Source organism: Homo sapiens, chromosome 8 (assembly GCF_000001405.40).
Source record: "Homo sapiens chromosome 8, GRCh38.p14 Primary Assembly".
NCBI classification, from domain to species: Eukaryota; Metazoa; Chordata; class Mammalia; order Primates; family Hominidae; genus Homo; species Homo sapiens.
This window is the reverse complement of record NC_000008.11, coordinates 90,542,509-90,559,549: the sequence shown is the minus strand read 5'-3', so window position 1 is coordinate 90,559,549 and position 17,041 is coordinate 90,542,509. Positions and strand designations below refer to the sequence as shown.

The 17,041-nt window shown below is 39.7% G+C and overlaps 1 long non-coding RNA gene across 2 annotated transcripts in view; it reads left to right on the top strand.

Annotated features, from left to right (window-relative positions):
- LOC124901975 (uncharacterized) overlaps positions 1 to 17,041 on the top strand; it is a 267,232-nt gene that overhangs the window by 2,791 nt on the left and 247,400 nt on the right. For both annotated transcript variants that reach the window (XR_007061002.1, XR_007061003.1), the window contains exon 2: positions 4,884 to 5,199. This is a non-coding gene — a long non-coding RNA (uncharacterized LOC124901975). The remainder of the gene's footprint in view (positions 1 to 4,883; positions 5,200 to 17,041) is intronic.

Genomic DNA, 17,041 nt, shown 5'->3' with positions numbered 1-17,041 from the left:
TTGAAGGAATCATTTACAGAAGGAAAAAAAATGACTCCTCGAAGAAACATTCAGCAAGCAAAGATTTTTGAGCACAGCTTGGTAAAAATAAAATTGTTAAGCGGGCACAGACTAGAAGAGAAGACAAAAGCAATCAGTGTGAAAGAGTTTTCAGACTAGGTCATTGAGATTGCATGATATCATTGGCAAGCAATAATATACTTGTATTCATGTGATTTTTAAAAATTGAAATCAAGTTCACATAACATAAAATTAAAAATTTTAAAGTATACAATTCAGGGGCATTCAGTATCTTTATACACATAACCATCACCTTTATCTAGTTCCACAACATTTTCCTCTCTCCAAAAGCAAAATCTATGCCTATTTCCCCTTCCTCCAGCCCTAACAACCACTACTCTATTTTCAATATCTCTAGATTTACTTATTCTGGATATTCCATATAAAGTGAATCGTATGATCTGTGACCTTTTGTGTCTGGTGATTTTCACCAGGGTCTTTACCCTTCGTGCATCTGATTTCTTTGCCCTGAAGGCAGGAGAAAATTATTTATTTCAAAATATCATTCAGTTAATTTAAGCCTAAATTAGAGCTCTGACTTGAGCTTGCATCTTGGAGAGTTGTAAGCAGAGCTCTTAGCACCTGTCTTGGAATGTTATAATGTCCAGTTTGAGTTAGTGGGTTGTGGTGGTGTTGGTGGTGGTGAGAACAGGATTGGAACCTTTACCAGGCCATATGCATGAAAGACCAAGCAGTGTGTCCCAAAGAGAGATCTGGGATTCAGGGCAGAAGCTATACTCTCAGAAAACATTTCTGCGGGCATCCCCACTGTGTGGTGAACAGGGCAACTGCATGGGAAATGGAAGCGCTGCTGCTAGCTCCTGCGTGGTTGCTGCATCAGTGAGCCCATAGGCCATTTCACTCATCTGGGTCCTGGATTTCTCATCATTAAATTGAGCAGGTTGGACTATATCATGTCCAAAGTTGCTTCCTATTCTACACTTTCTGGACTCTCAACTGGAATGCCATTCCCAGAAATAAATACAATGACTGTGGGAACAGACATGGTAGCCTGGAAGCTGATGGGCACAAAAGAAAATTTACTGTGCTCTGTTATGTAATAAATTGTTACATAACAGTTTATTATGAGGAAAAGAGAGATGCATGACAGGATAGTCACCATTCACTTAGTGCTTTTTATGAGTTACTGTGGTAAACACTTAGATTTACTAATTCATTTGTATCTTACAAGAATCCATGATGTAAAAATTGTTATCCTCTTTAATTTCAGAAAGCTGAGGTTTAGAGAGATTAACTTTTTAATCTCTCTAGTAGAGACAGCTAGTAAGTGGGAGGTTGGCATGTCACCCATAGCTTATTTTCTTTTGGTAAATTCACTCATGGTGGTAATTAAATGGAGACATGTTGACTAAACAGAGACATGTCAGACAGGGCTCTTAGGATGGCCATGTGAATGTTCAACTTCTGAGACCTCAAAATTTCATTCAGTCAATAGTATTCCAAAAGCTATATTAAGAGAATGTTGGGCACTTTTTATGGAACTGGAGATTTCAATTCTATGTGTAATGCTCCTAACCCCTAACTCTGAATCTAGAGAGCACTAATTTAAACTCTCTCCCTCTTATTTATAACATCATTTGCCAGGAGGGATTGAATTGTGGATTGGCATTATGCACCTGGAAAGGTCTTCCAAATAGTATTAAATATATGACACTTTTGCATTGGTCATAAGTAACTTTTTAAGCATTTGTAGTTTATGAAAAGAGATTAAGTATAGAGTCTATTTGCAGCCTTTCAACTGGCTGCTAAATATCAACTATCTGTTGTTAGTCAGACACTGTATCAGTCAGAGCCCTGTAGGAAAGAAAGGGCATTCTCCAGCTGGAAACTTCAGTAAAGAGGCATTTCCAATGTTTAAGAGACTATTTACTCTAGTAAGGGAAACCAATGAGAGGTAATAAAACACTATGGGGCTAGCAATTGCATGGAACCGACATCAATCCTAGAAGGAGCAATTAATGCAAACTTGCTGAGTAACTGGAGGTAACTTCCTGCAACCTAGAGGTCAACCTACTGGACGTGTGGACTTCTGTAGAGAGGCATCTTACCTGTTGTAACCCACAGGGAGGGAACCAGTTGGACAATTGTACAGAACCTTTTCTCCAACCTCTGATTCACTGTTCATGCAGCCTATGAACAAACCTAGTCAGAAGAGATAAGGGAACTTGTAGACACAGTTAGTAAAGGTCAGCTCCCAGAGTCAAGAGGAGTAGAGAATGGATATAGAAAGGCAAATGGAAATATTCCAGAAATATATTTTTATATAGTCACATATACATTGCTATCTCTCCATGCCAACTATATCCCAGAAGATGGTGGATGAAAATGGGAAAGAATCTTGGAATTATCTTTCTGATATAAGCTCTGGCCATCTCTCATGCTAAAAATGCAAACAAGGGAAGATAATTATGCATTATATATTTACAGGATGGCATACAACAGATCAATGCTAAGAAAAATAAAGGTGATTTCCACTGGAAGATGACAACTTTGCCTGGTGCTGCTACTGGGTAGTTGACTAGTTAGTGGAGCTAGCTGAGCCCTTGTTAAGGTCATCAGGCCACTGCATTTATAACTATTAAAATATAATCCAAAGCGCTGTTCGAGGGAAAAAACAATGAAAGTTGAGATTTGTCTAATAGATATACATACATATATATGTATATTATAAAAACAGATTTATTGAGATACAATTCACATACCATAAAGTTATTTATTTATTTATTTTTGAGACAGAGTCTCATTCAGTTGCCCAGGCTGGAGTGCAATGGCGCCATCTTGGTTCACTACAACCTCTGCCTCCCGGGTTCAAGTGATTCTGCTGCCTCAGCCTCTCAAGTAGCTGGGATTACAGGTGTGTACCACCATGCTCGGCTAATTTTTGTATTTTTAGTAGAGACGGGGTTTCACCATGTTGGTCAGGCTGGTCTCGAACTCCTGACCTCAAGTGATCTGCCTGCCTCAACCTCTCAAAGTAATTACAGTTCACTCTGAGCTGTGTCTGAGCTGGTATCCATGATGCAAGACAAAGTCTTCCCCCACTCTTTTCTCTCCTTTCCTCAAGCAGAGGGAAAAGGTCTCTTTTAAAGCTATGAGCTGTGCAGCTTGGGGTTAGGGGAGTGGTAATGCCAGCACTCCCTTAGCCACCCCTCTGGTGTCTCTGTAGGTGGCGTGCCCCCCCCACCCCAGTTTATTGTCTCTGGGCCCAGTTTAACATTAGGACTTACCAAGGATTTCCTGTCCATGTCACCTAGATTGTCTTTTTAGTTTAGGTAGAACTCCAGAGTACTTTAGCCCACTGTAGTGAGGTTTGTAGGAACTGACGTTTGGGCCACTGGGATCAGTGATACCCCTCTGGTTAGGGATGGTTTAAATGCTCCCTCCACGGGTGAGTGTCAGCTGAGTTTGGTTTAGTTTTGTTTTCTGTTATAATATGGCAACAATGAGTTCAATGCCTCATAAATGCTGTGTCTTCCTCACCCCAGCATGGCAAAATGCTGTCTGCACCTCATTGCCACTGTGGGGAGATGGGGAAGGGGTGGCGTTGGTGATTCAAGATTGTTTTTCCTATCTCTTTAGTGCTTCTTTCAGTGATATGAAGTTAAAACCAGGTACTGACTGTGGGTGCTCACCTGATTTTTGGTTCTTATGAAAGTGCTTTTTTTGGCGTAGATAGTTGTTAAGTTGGTGTCCTTATTGGGGGTGCAATTGGTGGAGGTCTCTATTCTGCTATCTTGCCCTGCCCCTCTGTCCTTACCACTTATTCGTGTGTCCTTTGGGCCTCAGTCCTATGTTTTTATGCTATATCTGGCTATCTAAGACCTCCAGCGTGGTATAAAATCCAGGTCTTTGTTCATTAAATAGCCCATAATCTGAATATATTTTTAAGTTTTAAAATCTCAGCTCTTACTAAAACACTTCTTCTGGGTCCTATTCTGATGGAGTCTGCATAACAATTTGATGTGCAAACTGAGAAACCAATCCAAGAAAGGCTGTGTTTAATGGTGAATATATGTTTAATACAGTGCCCCATTTGCAATATGAAAGGGATATTCAATAGTTCAACACACACAAGTGTCTGAAGTAGGGGACTCTTTGCTTACACCTATCAAATTGCAATGGAAACCATCTTGACTACTCTGTAATATGATATAAGGGTTTTTTTAAAATTGTCTTTAAACAGTCATTCATTTATTTAAACAAGCATTTATTCAATGTCTGCTACACGCCAGGTATCATGTAGTATTAAGCACAATGAGAAAAAGCAATTTTGTCACCCACAAGATGCTCACAATCAAAATGTTCTGGACCATGTCAAAGGTATACAATGGAGTGAGGTCTATGAGTGTGGAATGCCAGGGGCTATTAGAATGGAGAACAAGAGCAACAATTTCAAATTGGGAAGCAGAAGGTGATGGAGATTCAGAAAAAGCTTTCTGAGTTGACTCTTGAACTGAGCTCTGAGAAGCTAGTAGGAAAGAGTTAAGTGAAGAAATGGGGAAAGGTTTTTCAGACCCCCAAATTGGCATGACAGCATGGGACATTTTGGGAATAAGGACAGGGAATGCCTGTGAAAAGCACCAAAAGCTGAGTCTGAAAAGTGAGTCAGGAATAGAATCTTAAGATCACTGAAGGTCAAGCACAGGACTTGGGACTTTATACTGAAGGCAATGAGGAGTAATTTTTATGTGTAATACAACCCAATAAATTACCCACAATGTGTTTGAGTTTGTATTACTCTGATAAAAATTGTAACAGAGATAATACTTTATAGTCACTGTGCTATTTCATTTTCATTCTAGGCACACAACAAGACATTCTCCAGATCACCTGGCATCTAGCTGGGGCCACAAGGTTTTTTTCTGCCAACGGAATATGTGCAGAAGTGATGTATATGACCTCAGAGCCCAGCCTCTAAATATCCTGTGTCATGCTCCACATTCTGTCCATTCATCTCTCAGTTAACTAAATAGAAGTGATGCAAGGGAGGACTCCAAGGAAGCCCTAGGGATCATGAAGCTACAGAATGGGAGAATTGCTGTCACCACAGTTCTGGAAGAAGAATTGTTCAGGAGAACAGCCATTGGACTATGGCATGCCAAAGAAATCTCTGTTGTGGTAAGTGGCTGGGATTTGGCAATTGCTTTTTAGAGCAGATAACATGAATTACGTTAATACAAGAAAGTCCATCAGATCCTCAGCAAGGGAGTAATATAATCAAGTTTTTATGTTAGTAAGATTCCTCCAGCAGCTGCGGAAAGCATGAAGTAGAGATGGTGTGAGAAACTTGAAGGGAGGGAAGTCAGTCATGTGATCAGTGCAACCGTGCAAGCAGGAAACGATGTCTTGAATCAGAGCAAGGGCAGTAAAGATGACAAGACGATGCAATTACAGGATGTTAACAGGACAGAGTCAAAGTGTTCAGTGATTAGCTTCATGGATCTAGAGCAGTGGTTCTTAAATTTGGCTGTACTCTAGAATCACCTGAGAAGCTTTTAAAAAGGACAATTACCTGGCTGCACCTGAGATCAGTTAGATCAGAATAAATATTGTTTTTACACTCCTCAAATAATTCTAATGGACAGCCAAGGATGAGAACCATAGGTATAGAGCAGTAGTTCTCAATATGTGGCCCCTGGATCAGCAGTATATGTATCATTTGGGAACTTGTTAAAAATGCAAATTCTTATGCTGTACCTTGGGTGAACAACTAGACTGGCTTACCTGAGACTGAAGAGTTTCTTGAGATAAAAAAGCTGGGCAAGGTGGCACACATGTATAATCCCAGCACTTTGGGAGACCAAGGCAGGAAGATTGCTTGAGCCTAGGAGCTCAGCACCAGCCCCAGCCTGAGCAAAATAGCAAGACCCCTATCTCTACAAAATTTTTTTTAAAAAAATAGCCAGGCATTGTGGTGTGCACCTGTAGTCCCAGCTACTTGGGAGGCTGAGCTGAGAGGTTCCCTTGAGTCCAAGAGTTTGAAGCTTGCAGTGAGCCATAATCATGTCACTACACTTCAGGTTGGGCAACAGAATAAGACTCTGTATCCAAAAAAAAAAAGAGGGGAGGCTGGAGAGAGAAAAGACTTTTAGTGCTAAAACTTGATAGTCCCAGGAAACGTGGGATAGTTGGTCATTTTAATCTGCCACATCAGACCTACTAAAACAGAAACTCTGGAGGTGAGGCGTAGCTGTCAACATTTGAAGACCACTGGTATAGCGTATTCTGAAACTGCATACTTAAAGGCTGTTTTAGTCCATTTTGTGATGCTTATAACAGAATATCTTGAACTAGGTAATTTAAAATGAACAGAAATTGACGGACTCATGGTTCTGGAGGCTGGGAAGTTCAAGATTGAGGGGCTGGAATCTGGCAAACCACCTTTATAATCAGCGTTAATCCATTCTTGAGAGCCAAGCCCTCATGATCCAAACCTCCCATTAGGCTTCTCTCCCAACACTGTTGCATTGGGGATTAAATTCCAACACCTGCTTTCTGGGGGACACATTCAGACCATAGCACATACTGATAAACAACCACATGGAAAATGTGGCCTGAAGAGAGTGAACAAAGGGAAAATTATGGGGGAAAGGAAAACATCTCTTTTTTTCAACAGAATGACTATGGAAACAAACAGAAGCATGCCTATTGTATTTTCAAAACTTTCCTAACATTATTATCTAATATAATGAAACCAGATAAAGGCTAACATTTATCCAGACAGAACTTCTGAGTTCATAAAATTTAACTAGCCAAATGACGATTTTTAGTGATCATGCATTTTTAGTTCCCTCATTTTACTTTAAGGAAACCGAGACTCAGAAAAGTTAAATGACATATCCAAAGCCTCACTGCACTTATATGGCAGTGTCAAGATCAGACTGATATTTCCTCCAGGCAAGGGTTATGTTTTTACTTAGTTGTATCATCAGCCCATAGCAATGTTTGGCACATAACAAGCTCTTGCCAATCCGTTAAATGAATACATGAATGAAGACTCTAAGATCTCTTGCCAATGCTCTTTGTACAAACTCAAAATTCCTTTAAATCAGGTCACATTGTTCTCAGTGTCATACTGGTTGGAGGTACCCAAGTTAGCTGTTTAGTCTTGAGGACTCAAAATTAAAAAATGTTTTGAATTAAATTAATTCTTTCTTTCTAATTGGCAGCCTTTCTTGGGCATTGGTTTTGTTTTGTTTTATTTTTGCAGTACTGATTGTCTGGGCATTAAGCCTACTTGGAATTAACTTGCATTTGTTTTCTCTTGCACAATTTCAATTTAATATAAATGTGGTCAGTTTATAAATTGCTGTAGTTATTACTTTATTTACTAGAATAAAAATGTCCTAATCTAGCACAGACCTTGTTAACCATTACGGGGTTAAGTCAGACCTCTGAGTTTTCCTTCTGCCTCTTACTAAATGATCCTAATACTTTGGACAAACAGTCGGTCAAACAAACACAAACACACCCACTACAACTAGAAGTGAATTTAGGGATCAGCTCTTGTAGCCTCATTTCGATACATAAGTTGAACAACAATCTACTGTGGTTTGCCTGGCAATATCGTCCCAGTGTAATTATTAATAGGGCCCCCCTTCATTGCTAAGTGTCCCCATTTGGACAATTAATTATGTGATCACCCACCATATGAGGAATTTCAAGTCTGGAGAGTTGATGTGATCTAACCCTTAGACATGCAGTAGGTTAGTGACAGAACTGGACAAATTTTTAAAAATTGCTTTTCTTTACCACTTTACATATTAATCTGCTTTTCTAACAGTTCAGAAAGGGATGGTTTTTAGTTTCCAGTTTTGATTATAAATATCACTGCAATAATTTCACAAAAATATAGCATGTCTACATTTCCCACTTAGAATCCTAGAGGATTTCACAAGATTAGTTTCAGTCTAATGGCATTGTATTTAAAGTTTCTGATTTTAAAATTCAACTTACATAAAACAATCTCATGCCAGCAGTAGGGTGGTGGAGAAGCATATAGATTCGGCAGCCAGATGCCTGTGTCTACATCCCAACTTCATCAATAACCAGCTCTATGGCTCTCATTATTTTGTGTTTCAGTTTCCTCATTTGTAAAACAAGAATGATGATGGTAACAATAGTATCTAATTCCTAGAGTCTTTTGAGAACAAAATAATTATATGTGAGTTGTATGTAAAGGACATACTGTCACCTGGCACATAGCAAGCACCATGCATGTCTTAGCTTTGAACACTGTTTTTATTATCTCATCTGCCATGAGCCACTCTTCCCTGATGTGCACTTCATACTCCTGCAGTGATAAACCTTGGCCAGATCATGTAGCTTTATGAACCCTGCATGCTCCCAAAAGTGAGTATTACAAAGGCAGAGGCTTTGTGATACTGTATCCCAAGTAACCAATTTCCATACTGGTTACTTGTATCCCAAGTATGGAAAAGACAACAAGGTAGGCTCTTAATACATACTTCTTAAATAAAAAGGAATAAAAGGATGATTAAGTTAGTTGACCTATATAGAAGACAGCTACTCCTGTTCCACATTTCTCTTGTAACTTCACCTCACCTCCTTTAAGAAAAATAAATCCCACAAAACCCTGGATTTTGCAAAGAATCTTGCAAAGAGTCTCTGACTAAGGAATGGAAGAAGACAAACTGAATGAAGAGGCAGTTAGGGATGTGGACACTAGGGATAGAATCCGATAGGGAATTTTCCTGCTCTTTTGGTGGTCCATTGTACACATATCTTTAGAATTTTAAAATCTCATTTTTCTACACTGCCTGTAATTCTAAAGGTTGGACAGTAATTTACATTAATAAGTATCTTCTTTGAAAGACCAGAAAACCTATAGGGAGGGTAAAAGTATTATTAGTCAAAAACATTCATACATTTGAGTTCCATCTGATTACACTTTTCCTGACACCAGCTAATTCACTTGCACTGAATTTATTGGAGGTTTTTACTGCTAAAGTGGAGAAGATGGAAGGAGGAATAAAAAATTTGGAGCATGGTATACGTCATGGATCAGGGATCAAGCCTGGAAGTGATTCTCAGACAGGCTTAGAACCTGGAGAGAGAGGAAGTAAGAGATAAGAAAGAGGTATAAAAGGAGAGAGGGATATTAAAATAATATGCTTTCTTGGTTCCAGGATTTATTTTTCTAGAGCCATCGTTAAACATAAGAAATAGAAGGAAAGTTAATTTTTCTGACTTATTTTCTCTCATAACTATGTGGACACTGCTTCCGTCATAGAGTTTATAATAAATAATAAGAATAGCAGAAAAAATTACATATATATATGTATATATATATATGCAGACATACAGGCAAGAATGAGTCATTTATTTAAAAACACAGCTGGACATAATGAGGGAGAAATTATTGTTAACTGATCTATTGTAATCAAAGGCGATAGAGGTAAGGCAAGTTCAAAATAACCAATAAGCCGAATATTTCTAGACCTTAAGCTTCTTGGATATGGAAACTAAGTCTTAGTTATTACTGGGTTACCAGCATCTGGCCCAGGGCCTAGCACAGGGCCTCTGTAGAATGAATGAGTGGATGAATTTTGGCTTCACAATCAAGGCAGTGACATGTTTATTCTCCCTTTCTCATTTTTCTCCTCTCTTCCCCCTTTCACCTTTCTCTTGGCTTGCATCTGGTCCCTTCTTGACTTACTTCTATTTTCTGAGGTAAGAATTCTTCGAAATTTTTTACTCCAGCTTATGTTAAGGCCACAGACTATGTAGAATCCCAAACAAACAAACAAACAAAAAAGAGGGGAACAACCACCGAGCCCAACAAACGGCCCACATAGAAGCAAGACCCACTACAGTGCTCTGCCCTTAAAGACAACGTCCTCCTTTTCAGCTTTGCCTTTTGGTTCAGATTTTTGAGAAACTCTTATTGGCTGCTGGACAGTCAGTGGTTTTGCTCTCTTGGATTAGGTGTACTCCTCTGGTGCAATCAGCTGTGAACAGGAGGGATGGAGTCAGCTAGGCCTAGGTGTTCCTGCCTTGGGTTGACAGAAGAATGCTGTGTTAGTTTGCTAGGGCTGCAATAACATGGTATCAGACACTGGGTGGCTTAAAAATCGGAAATGTATTTTTTCACATTTCTGAAGACTTGAAGTCTGAGATCAAGATGTTAAGCCATAAAGGAATGGTCTGTCTATTCCAGGCTTCTTTCCTTGGCTTATAGATGGCTGTCTTCTCCCTGTTATGTTCACATCATCATCCTTCTGTTAGGTGACTGTCCAAATTTCCTCTTTTTATAAAGGTACCAGTCATACTGGATTAGGGCTCACTCTAATGACTTAATTTTAACCTAACTACATCTGTAAAGATCATGTCTGTAAATATGGCCACATTCTGAAGTGCTGGAGAAACTTAAGCATATAAATTTTGTGTAGGGCAGTGGGGAGTAGTGCATTTCAGCTGCATTCTTTTAAAAAAATTTTTTTAATTTTAGATTTTGGGGGGTACATAGTGGGTGTATGTATGTATTTATGGGATACATGAGATATTTTGGTACAGGAATGCAATGCGTAAAAATCATGTCATGGAAAATTGGGTATCCAGCCCCTCAAGCATTTATCCTTGGTATTAGAAACAATCCAATTATATCCTTTTAGTTATTTTTAAGTGTACAATTAATTTATTATTTACTATAGTTCCCTTGTTATGCTATCAAATACTAGGTCATTCATTTTTTTCTATTTTTTTGTGTGCCCATTAACCAACCCCACCTCTCCTCCATCCTCTCCGCTACCCTCCCCATCCTCCAGCAACCATCCTTCTATTCTCTATCTCCATGAGTTCAATTGTTTTGATTTTTAGGTCCCACAAATAAGTGAGAACATGTGATATTTGTTTTTCTATGCCTGGCTTATTTCACTTAACATGATGACCTCCAGTTTCAGGTGCATTCTGTAATACAGTAGCAGAGAAGTGTGAGCATCTTTGGTATTCCTATTAATGAAGGTTCTACCATGACTGATTATCTAGGGAAAGCAATTGAATGATACAAGGAGCATAGAGTTTTGGACATAATTTTCTACAATCCCTTGTAAAATGAAAACATTTATTTCCAAAATAGTTAGAAAAGATATATTTTCCCAAAAAGAGGGCTATAAAATTCTCTTTATCATTCTTGACATTTATTAAGATATCTAAAACTATTCCTAATGATGTAGGAAGTCATCTGTGTCCCCTGTTCATTTTTGAGGTGTGTCACATATGGGGTATAGTAATTATTCCTGACATGGGAGCCTGGCCCTTGATGTTTCAGAGAACACAAAACCAAATCAGCATAAAAAACCACTTCCAAGGCATACCAAATTAAGCTCATGTTCAGTTTTCAATTATTCATCATCCCCAGGGCAGGAGGAATAGATGCCAGAATCTAAACAATGGAAACAAGCAGTCTGGGTTCAGACTCTGTGGTATAGAGCTGTGTACATGGAGTAGAAACAAGAAGAATGTGACAGAATGAATATGCAGTTCCAGCACCACTGCTGCTGCCTTTGAACCCTACCAGGCAACAGCAGCCTCAATCAGTGGAATCACAGTTCTCATAATCTATGCACATGCACAGCAAGCAGGGGACAAATATGAAAACAAAATGAGGAAAGGAAGGAGATGCAAGTGAACAATTTCGGAATACTTGGAATCTGCCCATGTATCATCGGAAGAGTAGGGACATAACATCATGGGACGCTTACTGTGGACCAAGTAGAATCTAAAAGTCTAAGTACTTCCCTCTGTACCCTGATTCCCTTATCTTTACCTAAAAGTGAGAAACTAATATATATATATATATATATATATATATATATATATATATATATATGCATTATATATCTCATATATATCTTATATATATAGTCACAATTCTCACATCCACATTATCTGCTGTTTAGTTTAGCCCTAAATCAGGAAAAGAGTGGTTTCTAGGTCATAGTGGAGCTATGAACATGAAGATGAGCTTAGGTGGAGCACCAGTGGGTGACAGTACCTCACAGTGCCTACCGTTATTTTCTAGGGCAACAGTGATATATATCCCCTCATAGAGTTAATTAACACTGCAAGCTCAACTGCCTCATAGCAGTAATAAATGAACTTGGTAATGATAAGGCTGACCCACAAGCCCTTTCCACTGAAAAATTAAAGGGTGGTACTTTTTCTTTTGTTCTAAATGTTGAAATTTGATCAACAATTTTATTTCTGTAGAATTTTGTAAAGATTCATGGGCTAAAGTTTGAAATTCAGAAGAGAAAGGGTTTAGAAAGATCTTGGAAAAGGCACTCTGTGTTTTACCAACATACAGGTAATACTTCATTTCTTAATGAAAGTGTAGGAGAGAGAAAGGAGCTTATTTAATGAGTACTTAAGAGTCAGAATTTCTTCCAGAAATATGAATTTTCCCATTAAACTCACAACCATTCTATGAAGTACATTATCTTTGTGCCAGAGTATGAACATAATTGTTTAAGTATGAAAACTTAGCACTGTTTTTCATTTTCCCTCTTCTTTTTTTTTTTTTCTACATTGGGAAGTCAAAATGTAAAATTTCCTCCTTACCCTCCACTCACTGGGAGGGTTTGAAAATTCCTTCTTCCAATCCTTGATGAAAAAGAAACTCATTTTTTGTTGGTTGATTTTCCTTGTAATGGGCCACTGAGGTCAATTAGGAAACAAACAAAAAGAATAGAGATATTTCCCAAAGAAGCAGAGTGACTTGGAAGAAAAGGGAAGTAGACAGGAGCCCACTCCTCCAAGCCCTTATGCCCCTGCCTATAAAGAAAAAGAGAGGCTGGGCGCGGTGGCTCACGCCTGTAATCCCAGCACTTTGGGAGGCCGAGGCGGGCGGATCACAAGGTCAGGAGATCGAGACCATCTTGGCTAACACGGTGAAACCCCGTCTCTACTAAAAATACAAAAAATTAGCCGGGCGCGGTGGCGGGCGCCTGTAGTCCCAGCTACTCGGGAGGCTGAGGCAGGAGAATGGCGTGAACCTGGGAGGCGGAGCTTGCAGTGAGCCAAGATTGTGCCATTGCAATCCGGTCTGGGCTAAAGAGCAGGACTCCGTCTCAAAACAAAAAAAGAAAAAGAGAACTCCCTCACTAGGGTTGATGGACAGAGGGCTGAAGCACTGGAGCAGGGTACTCGTAACACTTTTCCCTGGCGCAAACTCCTGGGAAGCTGAAAGACTCCAGAGAAGAGTGCCTGATACTGCCAGGACCAAGACTTATAGGACCTTAAACAGATCCTCCACATTGACCAAGATGCCTTCATTCTTCCCTGCAGCCTGACTATATTTCAGATAGGTTTCTTTCTGACTGTTAAGTCCCCGGCATCTTTTTTCTTAGCGCATTTGCCCTAGAAAACTTGCAATTTCAAGTTATTTTTCTGCCCCTTTGAGATATAAATCTCTCAGCCTCTTGCTAGTTTTACACCCAAAGAATGTAATTTTCAAGGACCTGTGAGTCATCCCCTTGAAATGTAATCATCAAGAAAGATAGGGTCCTATCTCCTCATCTTTGTAGGAGGGTAGGGGCCTGACTTATATCACGCCAGTGAGAAAATACCAAAGGCCTAATCACATTTGTCAATCTCCCCACTCAATGGTCCTCCAATACTTTTCCAGCAGCTCACCCCAATGCTTAAAAGCTGTCTTGCTTTTCATTCCAACAAAGTTGAGTTCAACATCTCTCCCCTATTGTCATAGTCTTGATCCCTATTGCCATAGTCTCGAATAAAGTTTCCTTGCCTATTTAAGTTTTTTCAGTGTAATTTTTCTTTGACGACACCCTAAGGCTGGAAGAAAAGAACACAAAGAGGGGGTTATGGAGCCATTCACATGGACACTTCAGAAGAAACCTATGTGGAGAAATGACCAATAACCAGAAAGATCCTCTACTTAACTCTTTGACACTGCATAAAATACAAAATGTGGCATAGACTGGGGGGCCTTCTGCATGACTTTTAAGTTTCCTATCATCAGTTCAGCAGAATGGGAGCTCATGGTAAAGGTACACACAATAAAGTGTTCCTTCTCACCCTCACAGCTGTTCATGCTGTTGTCACTACCATGATGCCCTTTTGTGATGGACTGAATGTTTCTGTCCCTGTATAATTCATACGTTGAAGCCTTGCCCTACAATGTGATGGTATTTGGACATATGGCCTTTGGGAGGTAACTAGGTTTAGATGAGGTCATGAGGGTGGGCCCCCATGATGGGATCAGTGCCTTTATAGGATGACAAAGAAGGGAAAGATAGGAGCTCACCCACCTCACCACATGAGGGCCCTCACCAGAACCCAACCACACTGGCACCATAATCTCAAACGTGCAGCCTCCAAAACTGTGAGAAATCAATTTCTGTTGTTTAAACCACCCAGTCTATGGCATTTCGTCAAGGCAGCCTGAGTTAAGTTGCTGATCAGTGGAGAAAGAGCAAACAGAGGCTCAGATTTAGTTCATGAGTCAAGAGATATGAGGATGGGGTAGAGCCATCTGAAAAAGAGAAGCCAAGAAAAGTTAAGGAGGTTAAGTAACAGACTGGTAGATGAGAAATAATCACCTGGGGAAGTGGAGGAAGAGTTCATGAGAAACTACAGGTAAGACAGGGGATGTTACAAGAGATGAGGCACAAGCAATCATGCTTAATTCTGGAAAACGGGCAGGGTTGGCCTAGAATTATTTTCAATACATCAAATTACTTTTGCATCATGACATAATAATAATAGTGATGCTAATATCTTATGACTACTGAGGACTTTTATAGTCTGGGTTTGTACATTGCAGTCCTTTTTCCACAATAATAACATGAAATTTAGATAACATAAGACACAGAACATTAATCAAACCACCATTCACTCAGTAGTTTCAAATCATCTCTTTTCCTCATCCTTCTCATTGTTTATGAACAACCATCCTTCTCATCATTTGTGAATAAGCCCTGACAATCTCTAAAATAGTGGATTCCAACCACTTCTCACCTTCTCCACAGCTGTGGACCCAGGCCACCCTCATTTCTCCCTTAGACTATTGCAACAGCCTCCCCTCTGGTCTCCCTGTTTCCATGCTTGCATGCCTATGATCCACTCTCCAGAGAGGAGCATGAGTAAGTTAAAAATTGTATATTTTATCGTTTCACTCCACTGCTTGAAACCATCCAGTGGCTTCCCATTATCCCTAGATGAAATTCCTAATTCCTTATCGTAATGTAATCTGCTTCCTGCCCACATCTTAGGCCACATTTCAGATCTCTGCTTTAGAATAGTCTCATTTTCTATATCTCATACACAGTATGCCTTTTCCTCAGCTTTTTTGCCTCCTCATTATTTGGTTCTTAGCTTCAATGTCCCCATTTCAGACCAGTCTTTCCTGATATGTCTAGCTGCATAGCCCAGTCACTCTTTATCCCACTGCCCTTTCATCAATATACTTCTATTTAAAATTGTTATTTACTATTTATGTAATTATACGTTACCCCTCACCCCCAAATCTAATGAAGGCAGGGCTTCCATTTGTCTCCTGTGCATTGATATGCCCCCAGTACCAGAGTAGGGGCTCAAGTTCCTTGACTGAAGCCATTCAATTACAAGCAAAAGATCTGAAAGTCAAGAGAGGTTCTGATTGTCACCGAGTTTATGCTATTTAAGTCGTGCCATAATCCTTTATAGTGTATCCCTATTTCTATGCATCCCAAATATCTCATGATGCTGGATCCAGATCTTTGGATGGGGTTCAAGGCTGACTCTTTGTCCTGCCTCCCCATCTAGCCTCAATTCTCAGCAGTTCTCTCCCCTGTCTCTTGTCTTTGCATGCTTCTGTATGCTAGGATTTGTGACTTCTCTAAGTGCCTCAGATTTTCTGGTTGGAATGCCCTCACACTTGTCCTTCTGCCAGAAATACCATTTTCCTTCTTTCTGAACCTGCATGAGTCTTACACACCTTATGATCTCAAGGGTAATCACCTCCTTTTCCTGACAGGATTGACTATGAAGCTAATGTTTCTGCAGCAGATGTCTACATGCCCTCGGACTTATGTGTGCATGTGATGGGAAGTACTGCATATCTACCAAGCTTCTAACAGCCAACAACTGCCTCTCTTTGCCTGAAGGCCTTCTGAAGCTCACTCTTTGCTTCTCATATGCAGGTGGAGAATGCTGGGAAGCTTATGGCCCTCCCAGACTTTGAGGTGTGTGTTCCACACTGTCACGCTGAGTTCCCCAGCAGTGGCTCACAGCAGTACCTTGCTTTATATTGCATCCATTATTGGTGGCCTTTCCTTCCTTTCTCACTTTTTTTTTTTTTTAAATTCCCAACTGGTGTTTCCTTCACCTCCCAAATAAACAATGTTCACTCAAATCCTTGTATTAGGTCTGGTTCTTGGGGGAAGCAAAACTAAGAAAGAATCCCATCACACTTATCTCAGTATGTTATAATTATTTGTTTGCTGTTGACCTGGCTAGAGTGCTTTCAAGAGCAAGGTTTGCATTTTCTATCTGTATTCCCTGCACTTAGCAAAAACATGTGCCTAGCAAGCATGGAGTAAGTGTTCACCAAATCAGTGAACAGTGCTTAATAGATACCTGCTGAGCTGAACTAGAAAATAGGATTTCTTAATCCAAGAGGGAAGGAGACATGTATTTCTCACGTGACTTGGCTTGGGGATGCTTTTTCAGTTTCTTGGAGCATTTCTGCTAGAAACTGTTGGTGGATATTTATAAGATAACTTTTTTCAACTCTTATTTTGTTCATTCCTTAGCACTGATTATTCGTAACATAATTTAGTAGCTCTCAGTGGTCTGGGTTGCTCTTCAGAAATGGACAAATATGCTGTGATTAATCTCAGAAAATTCCTTTTCTTTACCTTACAGCATAGCCATCGCTTCAGGGTAGTGAACTCTGTACTTATTTTTAATTCTGGGAAATGATGTGTTTTGTTCT